This window comes from Homo sapiens, chromosome 3 (genome assembly GCF_000001405.40).
Source record: "Homo sapiens chromosome 3, GRCh38.p14 Primary Assembly".
Taxonomy (NCBI): domain Eukaryota; kingdom Metazoa; phylum Chordata; class Mammalia; order Primates; family Hominidae; genus Homo; species Homo sapiens.
Window position 1 is genome coordinate 197439713 of NC_000003.12, and position 24278 is coordinate 197463990.

Sequence of the window (24278 nt, forward strand, 5' to 3'; positions counted from 1 at the left end):
CAAAAGCAAAGATTTTTTTTTTTTTTAACACGCCTTCCATTCCACGGTGGCATTTGTGAGATCAGCTTGCAGGCCCCACCACTAAGAGGGGGTAGCCATACTAAGAGTGAAAAATGCTCACATACGGTGGTGAGGCGGGGAGAGGCCTGTGTCAATGCTCCCGCAAGGGAGCATAGGTTCCCTATGGAAGAGCCCAGAGGTTCCTATGTACCCCTTGGGACATAGAGATGGTCATTGAGGCAAAAGCCAATGGGCCTCACATGCGGGATCCACGTTGAGGAATAGGGTGGTCTTAGGCTGGAGGGGTATGTAGCTGAGACTCAGAAGGTGTTGAGTCAGCAAGGGGGTGCGCTAGGCACTGACTGAACCACAAGGTCCACTGTGGAAATCATAAACCAATCAAATACCTGGCCAGCAACAGGAACCCACAAAGACCCAGAGGCCAGCACAGGACAAGCAAGAACTCCAAGGCTACTCCCCATCCACCCTGCTGCCATCTTGGGGAAGAACAGGGGGACGGGAGAGAAATCAGCACTTCTGAGCATTTGCCCCAGTGAGCCTCTCAAAACTGAAGTCAAATGAGTTACTGTTCATTGTCAAGTGCTCATGATCTTTACTTGCACTGTACAACAGGGAGAGGACTCTCAAGAAAGATTAGGCCAGTCATAGAACAACCTCCACATACTCTTTTTCACCTCTGAGCAGTTGTACATAAATTTGCCACTGCATTACATATCTTTATCAAGTATTTGGTCTTTCTTTATCTAAGAGTTCCTTAAAATATGGTCTAGTGTTATGACTACTCGTGACACCAAATAATTGGGGTGTCTTCAGAACTAAAAATTGATATCTAGTCTGGGTGGCTCACACCTGTAATTCCAGCACCGTGGGAGGCCAAGGTGGGCAGATCACTTGAGGTCAGGAGTTCGAGACCAGCCTGGCCAACATAGTGAAACTCCATCTCTACTAAAAATACAAGAAGTAGCCAGGCATGGTGGCCCGCTGTAATCCCAGCTACTTGGGAGGCTGAGGCAAGAGAATCACTTGAACCTGGGAGGTGGAGGTTGCAGCAAGCCGAGATCACACCACTGTACTCCAGCCTGGGTGACAGAGAAAGACTCTGTCTCAAAAAACAAACAAACAAACAAACCAAAAAGATATCGAGCAAATGGATGTGGTTCCAAGATAACAAGAAGTTTGAAAGAATACTTCAGCGTATGACATCATAAGAAGACAGGACATCTCGCTGCTTGACTTAGGCAAAGTCATGGTGGGGGTCCCCATGTGTAATGCACTAAGTCCCCTCAGGGATGTCTTCCACCCTCTTACTGTCCCCTGTGAATTGCAGCAAGATGGGTTCTAGAGAGAAAAGGAGGGCAAGGTGGCCTGGAAAGACAGGGAGCTCAGACAGAAGGGCAAGCTGATAAATACACCTATTTATCACTGCACAATCCTTGGTCTTTCTCGTCCTATTGATTTTCATGCTTTGCTGTATATGCTGCTGTGTCGGAAGGAATGCGTGTACTTGCAAACAACCTTGCAATGGAGTGATCACAGCTTCAGCAAAAGGCTTCAGGCAAAACCTCCCCTAACCCTAACTCGGCCTCTAGTCCCATTTTTCCACCACTGTGTGTGTTAGAAGGGGATGGGCCCTGTCTCCAGATCTTCAGTCATCATTATCTGGAAGGCCAGGTCTTTGCACATACCCATCTTGGAATCCTTGAGCTATTTCCCCTTATGTTTGATGAGTGAGTGAATGCATGAAAGGATGCATGCCAGCCTGGGCAACATGAGGAAGCCCCATCTCTACCAAAAACACACAAAAAATAGCCTGGCATGGTGGCACACTCCTGCGGTTGCAGCTACTTAGGGGGCTGAGGTGGAAGGATAGCTTGAGCCCGGGAAGCGGAGGTTGCAGTGAGCTGACATCACACCACTGTGCTCCAGCCTAGGTGACAAAGTGAGACCCTGTCTGAAAGAAAGAAAGGAAGAAGGAAGGAAGGAAGGAAAAGAAAGAAAAAGAAAAAAGAAAGGATACATGAGTGAGTCTAGGCAGAGGTGGTAGCCTACAGTTCTTAGAAAAAAAGAAATCCTTGTGGGCTTGATTTGACAGGGGAAAGGGTGAGAGGCATAGCAATCTGCCATAGAAGAGATTTGTTGGTTCCTGTCTTCTCCTAGCCTAAGAAGCAGATCTGGGGAAGACCTAGAGGACTCTGGGGTAGCCTGTGATCCTGTGTGACCATGAGAGCTCCAGGGTAGCCCAGAATTACTCCTGATCAAGAGAAGCCCCAAGAATTTGAGGTGGTTTCAGGGCAAATCAAGTTACTTCAAAGCACTCGGCTTCCACTTACTTGATAAAAACCTCAGAGGATTGTGTGACTGAGAGGAGGGTCAGGAGAGGTCAGGAGAGGAGGGGAGACCCTGCATACCGAGAACAGTTGTTTCCATGAAGGAGGCTAGCAGGGTATGAACATTTCTTAGGAGAAAATGTATCTGAGAACGAACAGGGGAGAGAGGTGAGAGGTGAAGGCTGGGAGCTAGAGAGGCAAGAGGGGCTGGTGGAGGGTTGGGATCAGAAAGGGGCATAGTTAAAGTGGGGAGGGAGAAGGCAGATGGCAAAGGAATACCAAAGCCTTTGCAAAAACACAGATGTGAAGAACCAAAAGATGGCCAGGTGCGGTGGCTCATGCCTGTAATCCCAGCACTGTGGGAGGTCGAGATGGAAGGATGACTTGTGCCCAGGAGTACAAGACCAGCCTGGGCAACATAGTGAGACCCCCATCTCTACAAAAAAATTAAAAAATTAGCTAGCTGTGGTGGCGCATGCCTGTAGAATCAGCTACTTGGGAGTCTGAGGTGGGAGAATTGCTTGACCAGGGAGGTCAAGGCTGCAATGAGCTGTAATTGCCCCACTGCACTCCAGCCTGGGTGACACAGAAAAATCCTGTCTGAAAAAAAAAAAACAAAACAACTCAGAAGGCCTTAAATCTCCAACACTACTCCCTACCTCACTCCACCTGTCTTTTAACAAGAAAATGGAGGCTTTGAGAGTTTCAACCAGTAGTTCAGCATCACACAAGCCATGGAGACAGGTCAGGGTCCAGGCCAGGACCACTGGCTCCTGGTGTAGAGCTCCTTGAGTCTTGTGCAACACCTCTGGACCTCCCAAAAAGAGACGGTTTGACTGAGAAAGTTGAGGAAGTGGCCTGAGCGAAGAAGATGGACCAGGACAATGAAGATGTCGGGAAATCCATACAACTTTGCCCACTAGGAATAGACAGCATTCAGTGAATAGCGTTCAGTCCTATTAAAGCTCCTGTTTGCGAGGAACTGGCAAACCATGAAGCTCTTCTTGACTAGAAGACAATTACTGATGAAAAAAATTAATGGAGGCCTATGCCTTTCCTCATGTATGAGCTCAGAGCAGCCATGAAAATCAAGAGTAGCTCTTCTGAAGCATCAGCAGAACTCCCTGAGCCTTCTCCTCACTCCCCACTGACAAAAAGAGACCCAAGTCTCCTCAACAGGATTCCAAGGGCAGGGTGAATGTGTGGTTGATGAAGGAAAGATTCCTTATGGCTTTAGACTGTACTGTTTCTGAGGGGGGAAACGTGTTTGCCTTTGGAACACGTGCTTTCTTTATTCAATCAAACGAAGAAAGCAACCTGAGCCTGATACAAAAACTCACAGAAGAGGCTCTTATTGTCTGAGACCAGAGGTCTAGAAGCCTCTTCCCTGGGGCCCCAGGAGAAAAAAGGTGGAACAAACATTAACGCTCATTCCTATGCCGCCTGGGTGTTACTGTGGGCTTCATGACTCAAGAAAAATCTAAGAGAGAGAGAGCGCTTTGTGAGTTTTCAGACTCAAAAGTTAGAGACTGCACGGACCAACCTGAGAGCAGGTGAGTCCGGTTAGGAGGGAGCAGAAGTGCTTTTGGAGGGTGCTCATTGCCGTGTTGTTACTCGTGGCGGGGAAACTGAAAGTCACCCAGAGTGTGTCACGGGGAAAGTGAAGAGGGAAAGCTGGCTAGAACAACACACGGCAATGTGGATGGATCATAAAGGCAGAGTGCTGGGTGGAAGGAGGAGGGAAAGAATGCACTATGTGAGACAACACCATTTAGGTACAACAAAAACACATGAAAATACCACCATATGGTTTGCAAGAAATATACAAAAGGATATATACTAAATCCATAATTGCCTATGGGGGGAAGGAGAATGGGAGGGGTGCATGGAAGAATAAACATAAATAATGAACACAAAAGCAGGCCCTGCACAGACCAAAGAGGACAGCATGCCTTTGTACTTGAGGTCCAAATGTGTAGGAGTGGAGGGGGACTCCAAGTAGGCCCTCCTTATAAAGATCTAAGTCTGTCCTTGTGAGATTCAGGAAAAATTCTAAGTAGATGCGTGCTCTAGGTTCTGTTGCTACTCTATGAAATCACCCTGATCCTTCAGGAAAGAAATCTACATGTGCCTGATGTGTAAGCTTGTGGGGCCTGAAGAGTCAGTGGGTCCGGAGGAGAGGGCTCACTTCTACCCACTGGCCGCTAAGATGTCATCCTATCTGGGGGCCTTTGGCTCAGAATTCCAGGTGTTGTGGGGGGGGTACGGGAAGGCGGCCTACACTGAGATAGCCACAGTAGGAGGAAGTGCTACTATCTACAAGAGAGGACGCCTGGCCAAGACACTGATGGAACTTTCTGATATCTCAGAAACAACTGTTATCTTCAAGAAGCAGGCAGTGGCCCCCGGCAAGCTCTTGTGGTGTGTATTATCAATGTGCAGGTGAGCCAACTGAGGCTTAGAAAGGTTAGGCAGTTTGCCCAATGTCACACAACTATCTAAGTGGCTGGGGCAGAATGTAAACTAGGTGTGTATGGCTCTAAAACCTGAGCTCTTTTTTGTTTGTTTGTTTGTTGTTTTTGCTTTTGTTTTTTTGAGACAGAGTCTCGCCCTGTCGCCCAGGCTGGAGTGCAGTGGCGCGATCTCAGCTCACTGCAACCTTTGCCTCTGGGTTCAAGGGATTCCCCTGCCTCAGCCTCCTGAGTAGCTGGGATCACAGGCGTGAGCCACCACACCCAGCTAATTTTTTTCTGTATTTAGTAGAGATGGGGTTTTACCATGTTGGTCAGGCTGATCTCAATCTCCTGACCTCAGGTGATCCACCCGCCTCGGCCTCCCGAAGTGCTGAGATTATAGGCATGAGCCACCACAACCAGCCAAACCTGAGCTCTTAACTGCCATTTTATAACGGGCCCAAAATGTCCATACACACACGTGCACACTGTCACATGCACACTTACCGGGGTATGTTGCAAAAGGTACATGTCATGAAATGAATTCATACTCTTGGAACTTCCATCCTGCTCTTGAGGCGCTGTGGAAGGGGATTCTCACGGGCAGACAAGGGCAGCTGGGATGGCCTCAGAGTTCCCGTGCAAAACCAACTAAAAGTGACAAGAAGGAGACAGACGGGGGGAGAAGCAGGGTAGAGGAAAAGGGAGGAGTTTCTCAGGGTGTGATGTGGCTTCAGAAATAGCAACTGAAGACGAACTTGGAGAAAAGCTTTGACGCAGACATGTCCTTGAGTGCAATTCCATCCGAGGCTGGAAGAGATGGAAAAAATGAAGGTCATCGGAAGAGTTCTGATGAACCCACTCTTATCTCTCATGCACCTCTCATGGCAAATGATGATGGTAGAAGAAGTGGTAAGATTTCAGAGTCTGAAGGGACACCCAGAGGTTGTCTCAGCCGATGCCTTGGAGGGCAGTGGAGAGGACAGTGACTTGTTCCAGGCCACACAAAGACAAGAACGGAGGCCTCTGGCTCCTAGGCCAGTGCTGGCCGACCTGTGCCAGATTGCTGTCCTCCTAAGTCAACTTGGATGGACAACACCCTCTGCCTACCCAGCAGGCCCTGTTCCTTCTTCTGCTCCTTCTCCTTCCAGTGTTTTATTCTTTCCAGGAGCTGTTTCTTCTCAGGAGTAGGATAAGAGGCAGGGAGGCCAAATACTGCCTCCCAGGACTAGAGGGCAAGTGCTCAGGGGAGAAGTTCTGGACAGATGGGCAATTTGGCCATGGTTGAACTCTCATGGCTTGCCTTCTTTTCCGGCCTCTTCCTTATGTATCCCTGTCCAACTTCTAAGCCCTCCCATTCTTTCATTTTAAACCTGAGGTGGGGAGCTGTGGCCTTAATTTTGAAAATTTGGTTGAGTTTCTTCTTCAGGGAGAGACCTGGACCCTGATGCAACCACAGCGGGGCCTCCCTCAGCAGGAGAACCAGAGTCTGTCTCAACAGATTTTCTTTCTTCCCTCTGAAGCAAGAGCCACTCCCAGAACACAAAAGACACAGAGACTCCTGTCTCCTTGGGGGATTTAATTACTGACATTAGCTGATATCCTCTTCAGTAGCAGCGTCTCTGCCTCACTGCTTCTGAAGAAGAGGGACGTGGAATTTAAATTCTTATCCAGGCTGGGTAGGAGACATTCCCCCACAGGCACACGGAGAGTGTAGGATAAGTGGCCACCTACACAGTTTCAGAGGCTCTGAGCCCCCGAACACAGCCACCATTCACTAGCAGATGCCTGAAGTCCACCACCCAAGTTTTTGCAGGTTATTGGACCGTTAAAATTCAAATATTCCTGGAAGGGATGATAGTGATGACCAGCCACTTGCAACTTGGTATAATTTATGTTCAGATCACACTCCAGAAGCATTTTTTAGAGGGACAGGGGCTGGCGGGGGGAGAAAATCATCGGATGACTGACGAGGGAAGGAAGTGAAGCAAGAGCAAGGTCCATAGATTAGAAGGGGAGAGCCCAGGAAGAGGCCGGGGGCTCAGAGGGTGAGCCTGGCCGGCCCTGCCAGCTGGCCTGGAGCAGTGGGTCTCCGTGTGGCTCCAGGATCAGCAGCACCAGCATGGCCTGGGGTCCTGTTAGACACGCAGATTCTGGAGCCCCCCTCCAGATCTACTGAATCAGAAACTGGGGGTGGGGCCAAGCAGTCTCTCCATTTTACCAAGCCCTGCAGGTGATTGATGCATAGTCAGGTGTAAGAACCACTGGCTTACAGCCCGTTCTGTGTGCAATACGTCACCAACCTCCCAGCTCCCCATCCCCGGCCACTCATCAAGCTCCCTTCTCTGACCTGCCTTACGACGACTCCTTGGCTTTGCTAGAGGGAGGCACGAGAAACCACCATGGGCGTGGTTAGGAGAGTGGCAAAGTAAAGCTCTTTAGCCGTGAAAGCTCTGTGGCATAGGAGATGGGCTGGTGACAGAGAACATGGCTGCCTTTGGCTATAAGGGCAAAGGGTTTGGGGCGGAGCTGGGGGAATAGCTGATGAGGTGAAATTGCAAGTGAAAACGAGTGATCATCCGAAGGAAGCCCCCCAGAGCAGCCCCCTGGGCCTCCGAGACACTCAGGCAGGGATTGTACTACGTGAGCAGGTAGAAAAACAGAGACAGAAGCCTGCTGAAGAAGGCTGAAGGACTGACTGGGGCCCCAGAGGGTGTGGGTTCTGAGCTGGGAGGTACCATGGGGTGGGCGAGCTCACCTCCTCCCTCCCTCAGCATTTCCTCCCTCTGGGTGCTCAAGATGCATTTCTTAAGCCAATTCATTTCCTGGTTAATCCCCACCCCCATCCCCAACTCCCACCCCAATGCTTGGCCCAGGTAACCCTTGTGGCAGAGACAAGAAGGAGATCCAGGGACTCTGACGGTGAAGGCTGAACGAGTCCTCTGCAAGCTGGACACTTCCTTACCTGGCTCTATTTTTCTTTACAGCACTTGTCAGCATCTGAAATACCACATGTTTTTTCTATTTCCTTCCACTAGAATGTGAGCTCCATGAGGGCATTGTATTAGTTCATTCTCACACTGCTGTAAAAGAAATGCCTGAGGCTGGGTAATTTATAAAGAAAAGAGGTTGGCTGGGGGAGGTGGCTCACACCTGTAATCCCAGGACTTTGGGAGGCTGAAGTGGGCAGATTGCTTGAGGTCAGGAGTTCAAGACCAGCCTAGCCAACATGGAGAAACCCCGTCTCTACTAAAAATACAAAAATTAGCTAGGCATGGTGGCACATGCCTGTAGTCCCAGCTACTCAAGAGGCTGAGGGCGGAGAATCGCTTGAACCCGGGAGGTGGAGGTTGCAGTGAGCTGAGATTGTGCTACTGCACTCCAGCCTGGGTGACAGAGCGAGGCTTCTTCTCAAAAAAAAAAAAAAGACGATGATTTAATCATGTGATTATAGATGACTTTCTCTTCTCTACACTTTGTCACTGTAGGGAACAAAGAAAAACTTCCTCTTTGCTCTCTGAAGGTTTGCTGACAATCAACTGACAAAAGGCAGATGAATCAGAGACAAAGACAGTACAAATTCATTGTACTGTGCGTAGCATGGGGGACTTGCAGGAGAATGATCACCCAATAACCCAATGGAATCCAGATGTTTATATAACTTTCTTCATAGGGGAGGGAGCAAATGGGAAATGTAGGTAATTCTTTCTTATTTTTTTCTGAATCTAATTTGAAAAGCCATGTTATTTCTTTTGAGGATCAATAAATTATTATTAGGGAGAATGAGTGGATCAAAAGTTAATCTGTAAATGATTCTCTTTGGAATGTGAATGACCCTGAGAGACAGATATCTGATGAAAAGGTCCATCCTGGTGTGGTTACATTCCTCAGCCTTCATCTCTGTCATAGACATTGAGATTTCAGGGAGGGGATGGGAAGCAATTGTTCTCCTTGGTGGGTCCAGTTTTTATGTAGCTAAGAAAAAACCCATTCCTGCATCTGCTGATCTCTAAGAGCCTTAATTCAAAATACTCATCATACTGCGGCAATGTATTTTGGTGTGAAATTATTCTGGTTTCCTCCACCACCATTCCAAAAGGGCTCCAGTGTAATTTAGTACAGTGTATTACAGCTGAGAGATTTGAAGACACAAATTCTTTCTAAAGAGGAGACAAAAATAAGGACAATAGGAATTTGAAGCAAGGCCCTTGGCCCCCTAAAGGCTTGCTGAAAACCATCATTGACATGAGGCAGATTGATTAATGGGAGAAAAGGCATACAGATTTATTTAATGTGTATACATGGGAGCCTTCAGAATGAAGACCCAACCTCCCAGTGATGTACAAAAGCTTGTATACCATCTCGAGGTTACCGATAGAATGGGGGCTTGCATCCTGATCAAACAGGCTATGGTAGCGGGCAGAAGAGGAATTCTCTTGAGAGGATTACTAGGAAGAGTGAATCGATTCAGGACTCTGAGACAGTCACTGTACCTGTAACGTGTCTGTTCAGGTGTGCTTAGGTTGTTGGACTCATTTTCCACAGTAGATAGGCAGATAAAGGAACTTCAAGTTATATGGCAGAGAAAGTGATGAGGGAGGTCAGAGAGACCTGGAAGCTTCTTCAGCTCAGCATGTCAAAATGCCGTATTTTGGGGTATTGGTTTCTAAGCCCCAGCATACAGAAAACATTATACATGGCCCAACTTCTAGCCAGATTAACATAAATCTCACACTGATGGGCTATTTACATCAGTTTCTATTACTCAATTACATCATTTTTGGCTTTCAAAAAATGTTATAAGCTATGCTAAAAGGCAAGAAAAAGCAAAGTCTGAAGAAATGAGCAAGCACCAGAACCAGATCTGGATATGATGCAAATGCTGGAATGATCAGACAGGGAATTTAAAATGACTATGATTAATACATGCAGGATTCTACTGCAAGGACATAGAGTTAATGTAAGCTCAGAGATGGAAACTCTAAGAAAGAATCAAAAGAAAACACTAGAAATTGGCTGGGTGCAGTGGCTCACGCCTATAATCCCAGCACGTTGGGAGGCCGAGGAGGGTGGATCACGAGGTCAGGAGATTGAGACCATCCTGGCTAACATGGTGAAACCCATAAAAAATTAGCTGGTCGTGGTAGCACACACATGTAGTCCCAGCTACTTGGGAGGCTGAGGCAGGAGAATCGCTTGAACCCAGGAGGCAGAAGTTGGAGTGAGCTGAGATGGCGCTACTGCACTCCAGCCTGGGTGACAGAGCAAGGCTCCATCTCAAAAAGAAAAGAGAAGAAGAGAAGAGAAGAGAAAAGAAAAGAAAAAAAAGTTTAATTGGCTCATGGTCCTACAGACTGTACAGGGAGCATAGTGCTGGCATCAGCATCTGGTGAGGGCCTCAGAAAGCTTTTAATCACAGTGGAAGGTGAAGCAGGAGCTGGGTGTCACATGGTGAGAGTGGAAGCGAGAGAGAGAGGGGGCAGGTGCCACATGTTTTTAGACAACCAGATCTCATGAGAACGCACTCACCGCCTCTAGGACAGCACCCAGCCATTCATGAGGGTCCACCCACGAGACCCAAACACCTCCCACCAAGCCCCGCCTCCAATATTGGGATTACATTTCAACATGAGATTTGGAGGGGACAGTCATCCAAACTATATCAGGCATTATCGACTACTCTATCTGCTTTATTTACCAACCAGTCCCCAAGGGCCTAGGACAGGGCTGGCACATAGTAAGCACTCAATAAGTATAAATTTTTAAAAAATGAATGAATCTTAAAGTCATTCCAACCTTAAACTTTGCTCCTTGTCTATCAACATTTCTGCTAATATAAAAATGATTTTTCTCCAAATGGTAGAGTAAAAATCAATGTCTCGTGTCTTCCACAAAGCTGGGGTTTCAAATGACTGCATACATCACAGCTCCAGGCACCACCAGAGCAAAGCTTCCCTAGGATCAGGCAGCAAGGATGAAAGAGGATGGGGCTGTGAGGGCCAGGGCCCCTTTGTGGAGGAAGAATCAGTTTACAGAGGCTCATGTCTCCGTTCAGCCAGATGAGTGTTTCTGGGAGGTGGGAGAACAGAAAAGTTACAATCAAGTGTTAAGATGATGTCAACAAACTTGTCTACCCAGTGCCTGGCCCAATAAGGTTATCAAAATCTCCATTTCAATCTGAACTCCAGTGAAATTTTGATGAACAAGATATTCAGGGAACATTCCTTGCAAGACAAGGCTCTCCTTGACCTCAGGAACAGAGCCTTAGTCCCTTTGTTCTAGTACTGGGCACAGGATGTACCTAGAAAGCCCTAAATGAATGCCTGATGAATGAAAAATATTCATTTCAATTCATTTTTTTCTGATACGAAATTATATTTCAGGCCTTGTCTTTAAAAGTCATTCTAAGATGTATTCAGTAACATTTTTACATTAGCAAGTGAAGAGTACTGACTTCCTTGCATCTTCCCATGAGCATAAAACGTCACGCAAATGGCCATTTGCAAGCACCCTGACTCTCCCTGATCATGTGTCACTGTGGGAGGCTGTGGGCAGGATGCAAAAGGGGTATGAGATTGAATTTATTTTAATCCCCAGAAATCATGGACCATTAAAAGTATCTCTTGATACCTTTTTCCACAGCCTAATTTGACACATGGAGAACCCAAGGCTGAGAGAAGGGAAGCGGCTTCCCCAGGGCATTCGGTATGTGAAGGGCATCATCAGAACTAGAATCCTGGTCTCTTGACTCCCAAGTTCAACACTTTTTCCATTTTGTAGATTCATCTCTATCTCCTAAGAGTAAAAGGCAGGAGAAATTCAGATTAATTCATGTTTAAATTCTATACTAAGGTAAAGAGATATCAGTTTGTCTATAAGGATATGTTTATTGAGATTCTACTTTATATGGTACTCAGTTAGTACTATCTTTGTTACTACAGGGTAATAAGATTAAGCATATACAAAGTTGTTCCTATCCATTGCATAATGCTATCAATAATAATAGTAAGTTTCCATTTTTTGTCCCTGCTTATTTAGTCCCTGCTTATACGCCTTATAGGTATTACCACGAGTAATTCTCACAACAGCCTGATACAATATATTTCTGTATTAAGCCTCTTTGGGTTGCTCATGACAGAAACCCAACTCAAACAAGCTTAAGAAAAAAAGGAATTACTGGTGCACATGAATGAAAACATCAGGAGTTGTCCGGTTTCCGCCCAGGCTGGCTCCACGGGCTCAGGTAACGTCAGAAACCTCTCTGTCTCCCTTCATTTCCACTATGTTAGCGTCACTCTCCAGTATGTTCTCTCGTATATTGGGAAAGATGACCCCCAGTAGCTCTGGATTTCATGAACTTTACATCTTATGACAGAGTCTCGCTCTGTCACCCAGGCTGCAGTGCAGTGGTGCAATCTCGGCTCACTGCAACCTCCGCCTCCCAGGTTCAAGCAATTCTCCTGCTTCAGCTTCCTGAGTAATTGGGATTACAGGTGCCCACCACCATGCCCGGCTAATTTTTGTATTTTTAGTAAAGACAGGTTTCACTATGTTGGCCAGGCTGGGCTTGAACTCCTGACCTCAGGCGATTCGCCCACCTCAGCCTCCCAAAGTGCTGGGATTACAGGTGTGAGCCACTGCGCCCGGCCTTTTTTTTTTTTTTTTTTTTTTTTTTCTGATGGAGTCTCTCTCTGTCGCCAGGCTGGAGTGGAGTGGTGCGATCTCCACTCACTGCAACATCCACCTCCTGGGTTCAAGAGATTCCCCTGCCTCAGCCTCCCAAGTAGCTGGGACTACAGGCACACACCACCACGCCCAGCTAATTTTTTGTGTTTGTTGTTGTTGTTTTTGAGACAGAGTTTCACTCTTCTTGCCCAGGCTGGAGTACAATGGTGTGATCTTGGCTCACTGCAACCTCCGCCTCCCAGGTTCAAGCGATTCTCCTGCCTCAGCCTCCCGAGTAGCTGGGATTACAGGCACGCGCCACCACACCCGGCTAGTTTCGTATTTTTAGTAAAGATGGGGTTTCTCCATGTTGGTCAGGCTGGTCTCAAACTCCCGACCTCAGGTTACGCCTGCCTCGGCCTCCCAAAGTGTTGGGATTACAGGCGTGAGCCACTGCGCCTGGCAATTTTTTGTATTTTAGTAGGACAGGGTTTCACCATGTTGGCCAGGATGGTCTTGATCTCCTGACCTCATGATCCGCCCGCCTCAGCCTCCCAAAGTGCTGGGATTACAGGCGTGAGCCACCGCTCCCCAGGCTATGTCTTATGATTTTAGAAGGAGAGAGCCCTATTTTGACCCAGCATCCACATTTCCCCTCCTCACGAATCTTGACTGAGCATCTTTGGGTCTTGTGAGCGTGTCTTCATCAATTATTGTGTCTAGGAGAATTGGGATATTTTGATCAGCCGCTCTCTAGGGTGGGGGTGGAGAGTTTCTTTTATCAGTGGAATGAAAGAAGGGCAATTCATAATCCCATTCTACATAGGATGAAGTGGAAATTCAGAGAAATCAAGGACTGGACCATAATTGCCTAAAGGCCAGACGGCCTGTTAAGGGCAAAGCTGGGACATAAACTAGTTGTCTCCAAAGCCTATTTTTAAAATTTTTCCTGTTGTTGTCATTGAGCAGGGGAAGGACTCATTCACATACCTTAAAATTCACCGTTTTAAAGTGTGTAATCCAGTGAAAACCCTGTTTAATCAACAGGCCAAGTGTTTTCAACTTCGGTGTGATCACTGTTCACTTGTGAAGTATGTGGTAAGCAATGTGTTGCTATTAATAGCTGAATTACCAAAGTTATTAGAATGATTTACTTCAAAAAATGGAAATCAGAATTAACAAAAGATTACCCTGTTCATAATGCCATCCCCATTTCCAGGCCGGGCTTGTTGGCTCCGCCTGTAATCCCAGCGCTGTGGGAGGCCGAGGCGGGTGGATCACCTGAGGTCAGGAGTTCGAGACCAGCCTGGCCAACATGGTGAAACCCCGTCTCTACTAAAAATACAAAAAATTAGTCAGGCATGGTGGTGGGTGCCTGTAGTCCCAGCTACTCAGGAGGCTGAGGCAGGAGAATCGCTTGAACCTGGGAGGCGGAGGTTGTAGTGAGCTGAGATCACACCATTGCACTCCAGCCTGGGCGACAGAGCGAGACTCTGTCTCAAAATAATAATAATAAAACAATGCCATCCCCATTTCCTTGAACTCTGATGTCCAGCACAGCTCCTGCCTAGAGGCGTTGGCACCCATTTGGAGTGGTTCCAAGGAGAAAATGGCAGAGCACGTGACACAGCCTGCCATAAAGCTGTCTCCATCACAAGACAGAATGGGTAAGCACCCCAAGACAGTACAGAGTGTTCCAGGAAAACTACTTAGAAATGGCAAATCAGTTCAGCAACGTTTCAGATTATAAGAAAAAAATTAAATCAATACACCGTTTCTAGAGTCCAGTGATGAAGACTAGAAGGAAATGCAATAGAGAGAGCTCATTCCCTGAAGAATCCAAATCATTAAGTATTTTGCAATTCACGTAAAAGGACATGAAGAATGCATTCAAAGAAAATTACAAACCTCTAATAGAAAAATAAAAACGAATAAATGGAGCTTCTGCCTGGGAAGATTCTACATGGTAAATGGCACATTCAATCTGCAGTGTAAAAGCTCATGCAACCTGACCATGCCATCTGCTGTAGAAGGAGGGAGGTGACACTCTTGCTGTCCCCTGAGCTGATCACAGCACACTCCAAGAAAGACCTAGACAAACTCAAACAAGGTGGGACCAGGGGTGGAGTCGGGGGAGCAGGCTGGCAACAGACCTGGAAGCCAGTCACACAACACAAGGAATGAGCTGGTTGAATCTGGGCATTAGAGAACAGGAGGCATTTTTTGCAGGTAAGAGGAGATTTAGGGGCAGGGTTGAAGGGTTGTGGTATGGAAGAAGTATTAGATTTGCCCTATGGAGCAACAGTGAGTAAAAATGACAGGAAAAGAGATTTCTGTCTCAAACAAAGTAGCAACTTTTTGGAAGTCAGAAGTGTCATTGATCTAAATTAAATGACGCTATGAAGCAGGCAGAGTAGGCGATATTATCACCCCCAACAAAAAGATGGGGAAAAGGTCCAGCAGGCAGAAATGACTTGTCTATCATCACCCAGGAGGGGCATATGAGGCTGTGGACACCCCCTGTGCTGTGTCCAGTGCCCCAGGCTGCTTCTGGAGCCAGCACTGAGCTTCCACAGATGTGGCAAAACAGGTGTGAACAGCCGGCAGTGCCCTTCTCCTCTCCCAGCAAGAAAGTCACAAGAAAACTACCAAAGTCAAAGGATGACGAGCAACTCTGAATATTCTGGGGAAAGAAGGATCAGGCAAGGACCAGTGATTCCCTACGGGAAAGTAATGACTTCTGACTGGAAGCTCCTACCAGGAATTTCTGACAGGAGACCAGGGATTTCTGACAGGAGACCAGGAACTTCTGACAGGAGACCAGGGACTTCTGACAGGAGACCAGGGACTTCTGACAGGAGACCAGGGATTTCTGACAGGAGACCAGGAACTTCTGACAGGAGACCAGGGATTTCTGACAGGAGACCAGGGACTTCTGACAGGAGACCAGGGATTTCTGACAGGAGACCAGGGACTTCTGACAGGAGACCAGGGACTTCTGACAGGAGACCAGGGATTTCTGACAGGAGAGTAGTGGTTTATGACAGGAAAACAGGGATGTCTGATGGAAAATGTTGGCCTCCAGTGGGCTATGCATGGAGCTCTGACAAGAAAACAAGGATTTCTGAAAGAAACTGATTTTTCTCAGGACGGTGATTTCTAAAAGCAAAGTAGTGATTTCTCAGCCAGGCACAGTGGCTCATGCCTGTAATCCTAGCACTTTGGGAGGCTGAGGCGGGTGGATCACTTGAGGTCAGTAGTTCGAGACCATCCTGGCGGACATGGTGAAACCCCGTGTCTACTAAAAATACAAAAATTAGCCGGGTGTGATGGTGCGTGCCTGTAGTCCCAGCTACTCGGAGGCTGAGGCAGGAGAATCGCTTGAATCTGGGAGGCGGAGCTTGCAGTGAGCCAAGATCGCGCCACTGCACTCCAGTCTGGGAGACAGAGTGAGACGCCACCTCAAAAAGAAGAAAGAAAGAGAGAGAGAGAAAGAAAGAAAAAGAAAGAAAGAGTGATTTCTGATTTCTGACAACAATGATTTCTGACAAGAAAACAGGTTGCTGATAGGAGAGCGTGAATTTCTGACAGGACGCTAGTGTCCACCACGTAGCAAAGGGGTTATTCCTGACAGGACGTCTTCCACAGGAATGAGGGTTTCTGTTAGGAAGGACCAAAAGCAGCAGCACAGAACAAACTGAAAAATAACAGGAGGGAATGAGACCCCTTCAGGAAATAGCTTCTTGGGTGTGGAGGGAGGTCCTCAGGAATAAAAAGCCGGGTTGGGGGAGGCTGAAATTGGGGAAGACCTGGGGTCCAGTATCTCCTCTGGCAGAGTGGGGCTGAGTGGGCTGGAGGGAGAGTATCTAGAAGATTTACAAAATAGGTGTGAGCGTAGGTGACTAGGAAATACATTCTCATCGAGAGGCTTGCAGGAAGGGGGAGGGAGGGAGGAGAGGGAAATCGGGTCCTTCTTCAATCCCCTAGACCCAGAGGTAACAAAGCCTTGGTTTTTACTCAGCAAATTCAAAGGCAAGCTTTTGCCCTCTGAATGTATCGCCAATTCTTAGCAAAGGGGACAGGGCAATAGAGAAGTGATGTCATGAGGCTGTAGTTCTGAGGTTATCCGGGAACCAGGTCGGAGCCTGCTTGCAGAGAATGTAGCATCGTGGCAGAGAGGAAAAGGAACTAAGGGAAGCGGAAGTATCAGTAAGGAGCCTCCGACAGAAATGGTAGGCTGGCAACATCCTGATCAGCAGCAGAAGTGATTTTCCCGTGTCCCCGTGTCCCTGCTCACCACCCACGCTCCCGAGAGCTCCCAGGCCAGGCCTCACAGGGCTCCTTCCCTGTGGGAGCGGAGGTTTGCCGCGAGCCATCGCCCGGCACGGGACACGTCTCAGGGGGAAGGAACACGTTTTCTCTCAGACTGAGCGCTCGCTGACCCCGGCTCCCAGGCACCACGTCTACCACGTGACTGGATTCCTGCGGCCGCCGCGAGCCGGGAGAATTCTAATAGCGCAGATGCCCGGAACCGCTGCAGCAGCCCGAGCCGGAAGTGCCAGACTCCTACTTCCCACCGGATGCGGGGCTCGGCAGGCTCGGCAGGCTCCTCCGCAGGCCACACAGCCGGCGGCACAGGCCTCCTGCGGGGAACCCCACCCCACCGGCCAGCCCGGTGCTCTGCCCTCTCTGGGGGTCCCGACCACTGTCTCCCTCCACACCCAAGAAGGGGAGCCTGGTCTTGTCTTTCCAGCTGCCCCCACCTGTCCTCCCTCTGGGGCTTCCTTTCCATCTGAACTGGATTCAGAGGACACAGAGTTCCCCAGCTTTCTCCGCTTTTGATGCCCTATCTGGTCCTCAAGCTGTTTTTGTTTTGTTTTGTTTTGTTTCGTTTCGTTTCGTTTTGTTTGAGATGGAGTTTCGGTCTTGTTGTCCAGGCTGGAGTGCAGTGGTGCAATCTTGGCTCACTGCAACCTTCGCCCCCTGGGTTCAAGTGATTCTCCTGCCTCAGCCTCCCGAGTAGCTGGGATTACAGGCATGCACCACCACACCTGGCTAATTTGTATTTTTTTTTTTTTTTTTTTAGTAGAGACGGAGTTTCTGCATGTTGGTCAGGCTGGTCTCAAACTCCCAACCTCAGGTGAGCCGCCCACCTTGGCCTCCCAAAGTGCTGGGATTACAGGCGTGAGCCGCCGCGCCTGGCCCCTCAAGCTGTTTCGTGGCTGCCAATGCCAACTGGGAAAAAGACACAGTGGTAGAAAGAATTAGAGATGAGACGCAGACTTGAGAATTCTTTTCAAATTCAAGAGCAGTAGTTTGTCTCAGGAGATGCTGGTCCTGTCTCACTGTGAGAATCCCTATCATAGACCTTCCCGGGCAAAGCCCTTTCCCGGGTTCCTGTCTGAGGAGGGAGGTGAAGCCTCTTGGGTCCTCAAGCAGCGATTCTTACCCTTTCCCTGCCTGGGTCACTGCCCATCCACAGCTTCCCGGGGAGAACAGTGACGGGAACTAGCTGACCGCTCGGAGCCTCCAGGCCAGTCCCTTTCTGTGAAGACTCACAAGGCCTTACTCGTTGCGTAACATCCCAAAGCCGTAGTTACGTCATCTGTAAAATGGAGATAAAAATCCCACTTCACATGGTTGTTGGGGTGATTAAAGGAGATAATATAGGCCAGGCATGGTGGCTCACACCTGTAATCCCAGCACCTTGGGAGGCCGAGGCAGGCAAATCACCTGAGGTCGAACCCTGAGGTCGGGAGTTTGAGACCAGCCTGACCAACATAGAGAAACCCCGTCTCTACTAAAAATACAAAATTATCTGGGCGTGGTGGTGCATGCCCGTAATCCCAGCTACCTGGGGGGTTGAGGCAGGAGAATCACTTGAACCTGGGAGGCGGAGGTTGCAGTGAGCTGAGATCATGCCATTGCACTCCAGCCTGGGTGACAAGAGCAAACCTCCATCTCAAAAAAAAAAAAAAAAAAAAGAGGAGATAATATATAAAGTACCTGGCACCCAGCAGGTATGATAAATTGGTCCCCTTATTTCTGCTGATGCAGGAAAGCAGAACGCTTGAGAGCAAGGCTGTGGCGGGTGAGGCTGTTCAGTGTGTGCCTGTCTGTTCAGCAGCTGGGTGGAGGCTGAAATACCACATGCCCTCCACTCACCCTGTCAAGTGCCGAGGGTGGGGCATTCTGCACAAAAGCTTTGTCTCTCCTGCACACAGGCACCCTAAGGCTGAGATTCTGCACAAAAGCTTTGTCTCTCCTGCACACGGGCACCCTAAGGCTGAGCAGCACTCTCTGCCGGGTGACTGCGCCAGCGCCCAGACCACCTGCTGGAGAAAGAAAGCATGGCACGTTGAAGGCAAGCATTTGTACTTTGCTCTTTCCTCACAGTTAGACCAGGCTCCCCTCCTCTCCCGCTTGTCCTCAGAGGCCTTGGTGAGGTGGAGAACGGCTGCCATTGTGATGGGTTCCCCTTTTCTCATTGCGGGGGGTCCCTTGAAGGGGGTTGGCCTGCCTGCATTTGGGCTCTGGTAACCACTCTTCTTCCTAGCAGGCTTCCCATTGGGGCAATTTGCAGGGTCCTAAACTCAGAACCTCTACCTTTACATCCAGGGCCCCCAAGAGGCTCTCTTTAACATTATGGACAAACAGCCACACAGGGCCTTTTTTCCCCAGGAAGAAAAGACCAAATGGAGCTCAAGGCCCAGCTGTCCTGGGAGTGGTGCCTCAGCCGTGGCCCTCTGGGAAGGGGTTTCTGTGCAGGGCTGCCCTGAGGGTTACCCTTTTCCATCTTCATTTCTATCTCACATAGTAGGCAAGACAACAGACAGGATTCAGACAAGATTACAGCTCCAAGGGTTGATCTGTGTATTTCCCTTGCACGCTGCTCTCTTGCTGGCACCGAAGGGCACCCCAGTCCAGACTGGTCAGAAACAAACACTCACAGAACCCACAGAGCCAGGGCTAGACACAAAGGCCAGGCAGTGTGCTTGCAAAACGAGACTTTCCTCTCCCAAAGACTAGAAAAAACTAGGCTTGCAGAAGCAGGAAGAGGCCGCTGGACCTGGACGGGAGGACGACACCTGGATTACTGGGTGTGGCGCCTTCCACCAACAGTGCTGGCCACATGTGAACAGCACCTGGTAGCCTTGGAGGCTGTGAGTAGGGATTGGGGTCAGGAGGGGTGCGGTCAGGAGGGATGTGGTCAGGAGGGGATGTAGTTAGTGGGGATGCAGTCGGGAGGGGATGCAGTTAGTAGGGATGCAGTGAGGACGGGTGTGGTCAGGAGGGATGTGGTCAGGAGGGGATGCAGTTAGTAGGGATGTGGTCGGGAGGGATGCAGTTAGTAGGGATGCGGTCAGGAGGGATGCAGTTAGTAGGGATGTGGTCGGGAGGGATGCAGTTAGTAGGGATGTGGTCGGGAGGGATGCAGTTAGTAGGGATGTGGTCGGGAGGGATGCAGTTAGTAGGGATGTGGTCGGGAGGGATGCAGTTAGTAGGGATGTGGTCGGGAGGGGATGCAGTTAGTAGGGATGTGGTCGGGAGGGATGCAGTTAGTAGGGATGCGGTCGGGAGGGGATGCGGTTAGTAGGGATGTGGTCAGGAGGGGATGCGGTTAGTAGGGATGCGGTCGGGAGGGGATGCGGTTAGTAGGGATGTGGTCGGGAGGGGATGCAGTTAGTAGGGATGTGGTCAGGAGGGGATGCAGTTAGTAGGGATGCGGTCGGGAGGGGATGCAGTTAGTAGGGATGCGGTCGGGAGGGGATGCAGTTAGTAGGGATGCGGTCGGGAGGGGATGCAGTTAGTAGGGATGCGGTCGGGAGGGATGCAGTTAGTAGGGGTGCGGTCGGGAGGGATGCAGTCAGGAGGGGATGCAGTTAGTAGGGATGTGGTCAGGAGGGATTCAGTTAGTAGGGGTGCGGTCAGGAGGGATGCGGTTAGTAGGGATGCGGTCGGGAGGGGATGCGGTTAGTAGGGATGCAGTGAGGACGGGTGTGGTCAGGAGGTGTGTGGTCAGGAGGGGTGCGGTCAGGAGGAAAAACCTCACCCGGAGCAGAACCAGGTGTTCATGTCTCTATATAATTGGAGCCGTGATGGACGCTACTCTCCTGAGAGGCCTGACTGTGGTGGGAGTGCTCTCCTGAAACCAAGCAGTTTCCAATGGCAGAATCCTTTAGAAAACAGTAGAACTGTGGGAGCTCCAAAAGCAGATCTCATGAAGGTAGAAAAGAGAATGGTGGTTACCAGCGGCAGGGAAGAGTAGAGGGAGGGGGAGGATGAAGGGGACAAAAAGAATGTAAATGTATTACCACTGAACAGTACCCTTAAAAATAGTAAACATGGTAAATTTTAGATGTCTATTTTACCTCAAAAAGAAAATGCTGGAACAATTTCAGCCAAAAAATAAAAACCCTCAATTCATGAGCACAAAATAATTTAGTTTCTCAGGTGACTGGAATTTTTTTGTACTATTTTTAGGAAGAAGACCTTAATAAGAAATCAAAAACAAATCAAGGGTTTATTTTTTAAAACAACAAAATACCAGCAGCTTCCAGGGACTCCCCTGGAGTCCACACATGGCCGGTGCAGTCCAACCCCATTACACGTTTATGAAAGAACAATGGATGTTCAGAAGGATGACCCTTGAATCGCTAGGTCATCGAATAAAGTTTCTCTTCACTCAGTTGCCAGAATCCCTATTTCCTTTGCATTATAGTGAAGTGGAGCCTGGTCGTATTCCTAAATTAACTACAAGCTCCTTGAAATAGATTTTTCAAGAATTCTAACATCTTTCGGACAAAGGTGACACTGTGTATAAATTTAATGTATTGAGCATCCAGAAATGGTTTGGTCTTTGAGAGGAACCTCATGAGGCCGCATCCTGTAGATATTTGATGGGGATGGGTCATGATGGTGGTTCTCAACTGGGGCGGGGTCATTCCCCTTCGTCCCGGGAGCATGTGGCAACGTATGGAGACCTTTTTGATTGATATAATTGGGATGGGGAGTGGGATGCTACTGGCATCTAGTCGATAGCGGCCAAGGGATTCTGCTCAATATCCTGTAATGCACAAAACAGCCCTTCACAACAAAATTATATGACCAAAATGTCTAGAGTGCTAAGGTTGAGAAACCATGGTTCATGGTAACTCCAAAAGGTGAACCCCAGTGGAGACCAGTAGGGCGGTTGCTCCAGGGCTACTCAGAGGCCTCAGGGCCACACTCAGAAACCTACCCTGTCATCCACCACCTGGGTATTTTTTTTAACTCAAAAAAATGTCACCTTACTCGTCTTCTTAGGATGGTTCTAGGATCTAAAGCCAGGACATCCATCTGCAATGAAATACAACCTTCAGATGTCTGGCTGCTCTATGCTGGCAACAGGGATGCTCAGCGGAGCCGAGAGTAGAGCGTAAGGAGTTAGTTACATGAGTCACATGCCGCCTGATGAACCCAGGTCTACCAGGACTTGGGCTCTACTGGGAGGGCACTGCCAGTGCTCACCTGGGTGGTACTACCTCTTCTAAGTTTCTGCTGGTAACCAAGGTTCTTGTGACCAGTCTTCTTGCTTTGGATGTGTTAATGTTTGCCTGACTTCCACCTGGAGTCAGAGCCCACCTAAAATGATTGCATTGCTTGGCTCTTATCCATTTATTATGTTTATATTTTATAGTTTAATACAGGAATTCCCTGATCTGAGAGCAGAGGGAGTGATTTTGAGAAGCCACCTAATCCATGAGTGTCTAGAGTATCTGTAAGCAAACATAGTACATGCTAATCTGGTACCACTGTTTGTCAAAAATATTCATATGATGTGGCAATTTAAAGAGTAGTCATAATTCCTAATAGTTTGTTGTCAATATGTATTTCTTGGTCACAAACACTAAAAGTATAAATATGATCATGTGGAAATGGGTCTGGAAAATATTTTGAGGATAAAAGCAGGATTTAGGCCAGGTGCAGTGGCTCACGCCTGTAATCCCAGCACTTTGGGAGAACGAGGTGTGAGGCTCACTTGAGCTCAAGAGATCAAGACCAGCCTGGGCAACATGGTGAAACCCCATTTCTACAAAAAATACAAAAATTATCCAGGCATGGTGGCGGCCGCTTGCAATCCCAGCTACTCGGGAGGCTGAGGTGAAAGGATGGCTTGAGCCCAGGAGACGGACGTTGCAGTGAACTGAGATCACACCACTGCACTCCAGTCTGGGCGACAGAATGAGACCCTGTCTCAAAAAAAGAAAAAAGAAAAAGAAAGAAAGAAAAAGAAAAAAGGAGGATTTACACTGGAAAAAGTTGGGAACCACTGGTTTGACTCTCAGAAGGTTAACTTTCATATTTCCTAGTTCTCGAGCAGGGAAGCCCAGCACCCCGGGGTTGCCGCCCCCACCCCCCATGGCATGTGTCTGCTTGCTCTACCCCAGGGACAATCTTAACTCCTTGTATTGGTGTGCTTTACCGTTTCCAAAACATTAAGGAAGGCAGAACAGAGGCTACCACTTCTATTCAGGGATGAGGATGGGACTTGGGCAGCTGATTTGTCTCAGGGTCTATGGCCAGCACAGCTGGAGCCAGGGCCCCAAACTCTGACGTGGGACCCAGAGCTCTTTCCACTCCCCCGAATTAGTAATGGAGCCCTTGGGGGGTCTCGGAGCCACCAAATACCAAACTCTACTCCACAGCAACTAGTGGATGAAGAGAGCCAGGAAGTATTTAAGAGCTTTCAGGAACTAGTCATTTTACGTCCTTCTGAATCCCAGTTAGTTCATGAGAATTTCACGAAGGTAAAGGCGACAGAAAGCAATGAACAAGCCCACGTTCGGTTGCCATGGAAACCCGTGTTTACCTTTGGGTTCATATTTGGTACAATTTCCTGAAATTCCCAATGAGGATTTCAGGTGATCTGGGGGTTCTCTGAACCTCAGTCTCTAAATCTGAAAAGTAAAAAAACACTGAACCAGATTATGTATTTCTGGGTAATTTTACCTTTGACATTCTATTAGTCTAAAGAACCAGATTATATATTTCTGGGTAATTTTCCCTTTGACATTCTATTAGTCTAAATCTGTGGGTTCTATCAGCGTCATCAGAGGGAGAACTCTGTAAAACAATGTTTTCTCTTTTTTCAAGAGACATCTATTCGTTCATTCATGTGTTGATTCAACAAGCATTGATTGCATATAAGGCACTGTACTAGGCTCTGTGCAGATTATAGGCTTGAAAACAGAAAAAGCCCATTGAATACGCCCATGTAGCTAACCTCTATAAGGAAATCAAGAAAAACAAGAAAGTCATTATGACTAGCTTACCTTTGATGCTTTAAACCACTTCTGATAAAAAGTTAAGGACTTTTATATTGGAATGTAAAATATGTAGACTAAGAAAATTTCCTGCAAGTGAGTCAAAAATTCTCTGAATTACAACAGGCTCTCGAATGGCTATAAAGTTTAGAGAAAACTAGTAATACAATACCTTCAGTTTTTTGTGATGAGAATCTAAAATCTTATCATAGAAGCTTCAAAACAGTTTCCAGTACAACTGATCCAAGGGCAGGGAAAAAATATTTGTTTGATTTAATCTAGAGTCTAGAATTGACTGCTGTTCATTAAGGAACTTTCTTTCTTTCTTAAAGAGAACTTTTTTATACAGTACAATTTCATTAGTTACATAATATCTTTTCATTTGATCAAAAAGTAACTACATTTTATTTCTAAGAGAGATGGAATTGATTTGGCAAATGGAAACTAAGAAATATTTCTAGATGGATATTTTGGCTTTTACTATTACACGGAAGATGACAAAATTA

The 24278-nt window shown here is 47.9% G+C and overlaps 1 long non-coding RNA gene across 3 annotated transcripts in view, besides 2 other annotated features; it reads right to left on the reverse strand.

Annotated features, from left to right (window-relative positions):
- The window catches only part of LOC105374308 (uncharacterized), a 42702-nt gene extending 24126 nt beyond the window's left edge, over positions 1-18576 (reverse strand). The window contains exons 1-4 of one of the 3 annotated variants that reach the window (NR_189109.1): positions 18473-18576; positions 17916-18071; positions 5560-5611; positions 5309-5452 (exon numbers count right to left, since the gene is read on the reverse strand). This is a non-coding gene — a long non-coding RNA (uncharacterized LOC105374308). Of the gene's footprint in view, positions 1-5308; positions 5612-9060; positions 10871-11431; positions 11597-17915; positions 18072-18472 lie in introns of those variants that run through there. The other 2 variants (NR_189107.1, NR_189108.1) reach the window with 2 other exon arrangements.
- Positions 8192-8392: a silencer, noted in NCBI's record as "peak4993 fragment used in MPRA reporter construct". NCBI's record gives its function as "represses an SCP1 promoter by STARR-seq MPRAs in K562 erythroleukemia cells {active_cell/tissue: K562}" and the evidence as "EXISTENCE:reporter gene assay evidence [ECO:0000049][PMID:32103011]".
- Positions 22941-23143: a silencer, noted in NCBI's record as "fragment chr3:197189524-197189726 (GRCh37/hg19 assembly coordinates)". NCBI's record gives its function as "represses an EF-1alpha promoter that drives an FKBP-Casp9 reporter gene in an ReSE screen in K562 erythroleukemia cells {active_cell/tissue: K562}" and the evidence as "EXISTENCE:reporter gene assay evidence [ECO:0000049][PMID:32094911]".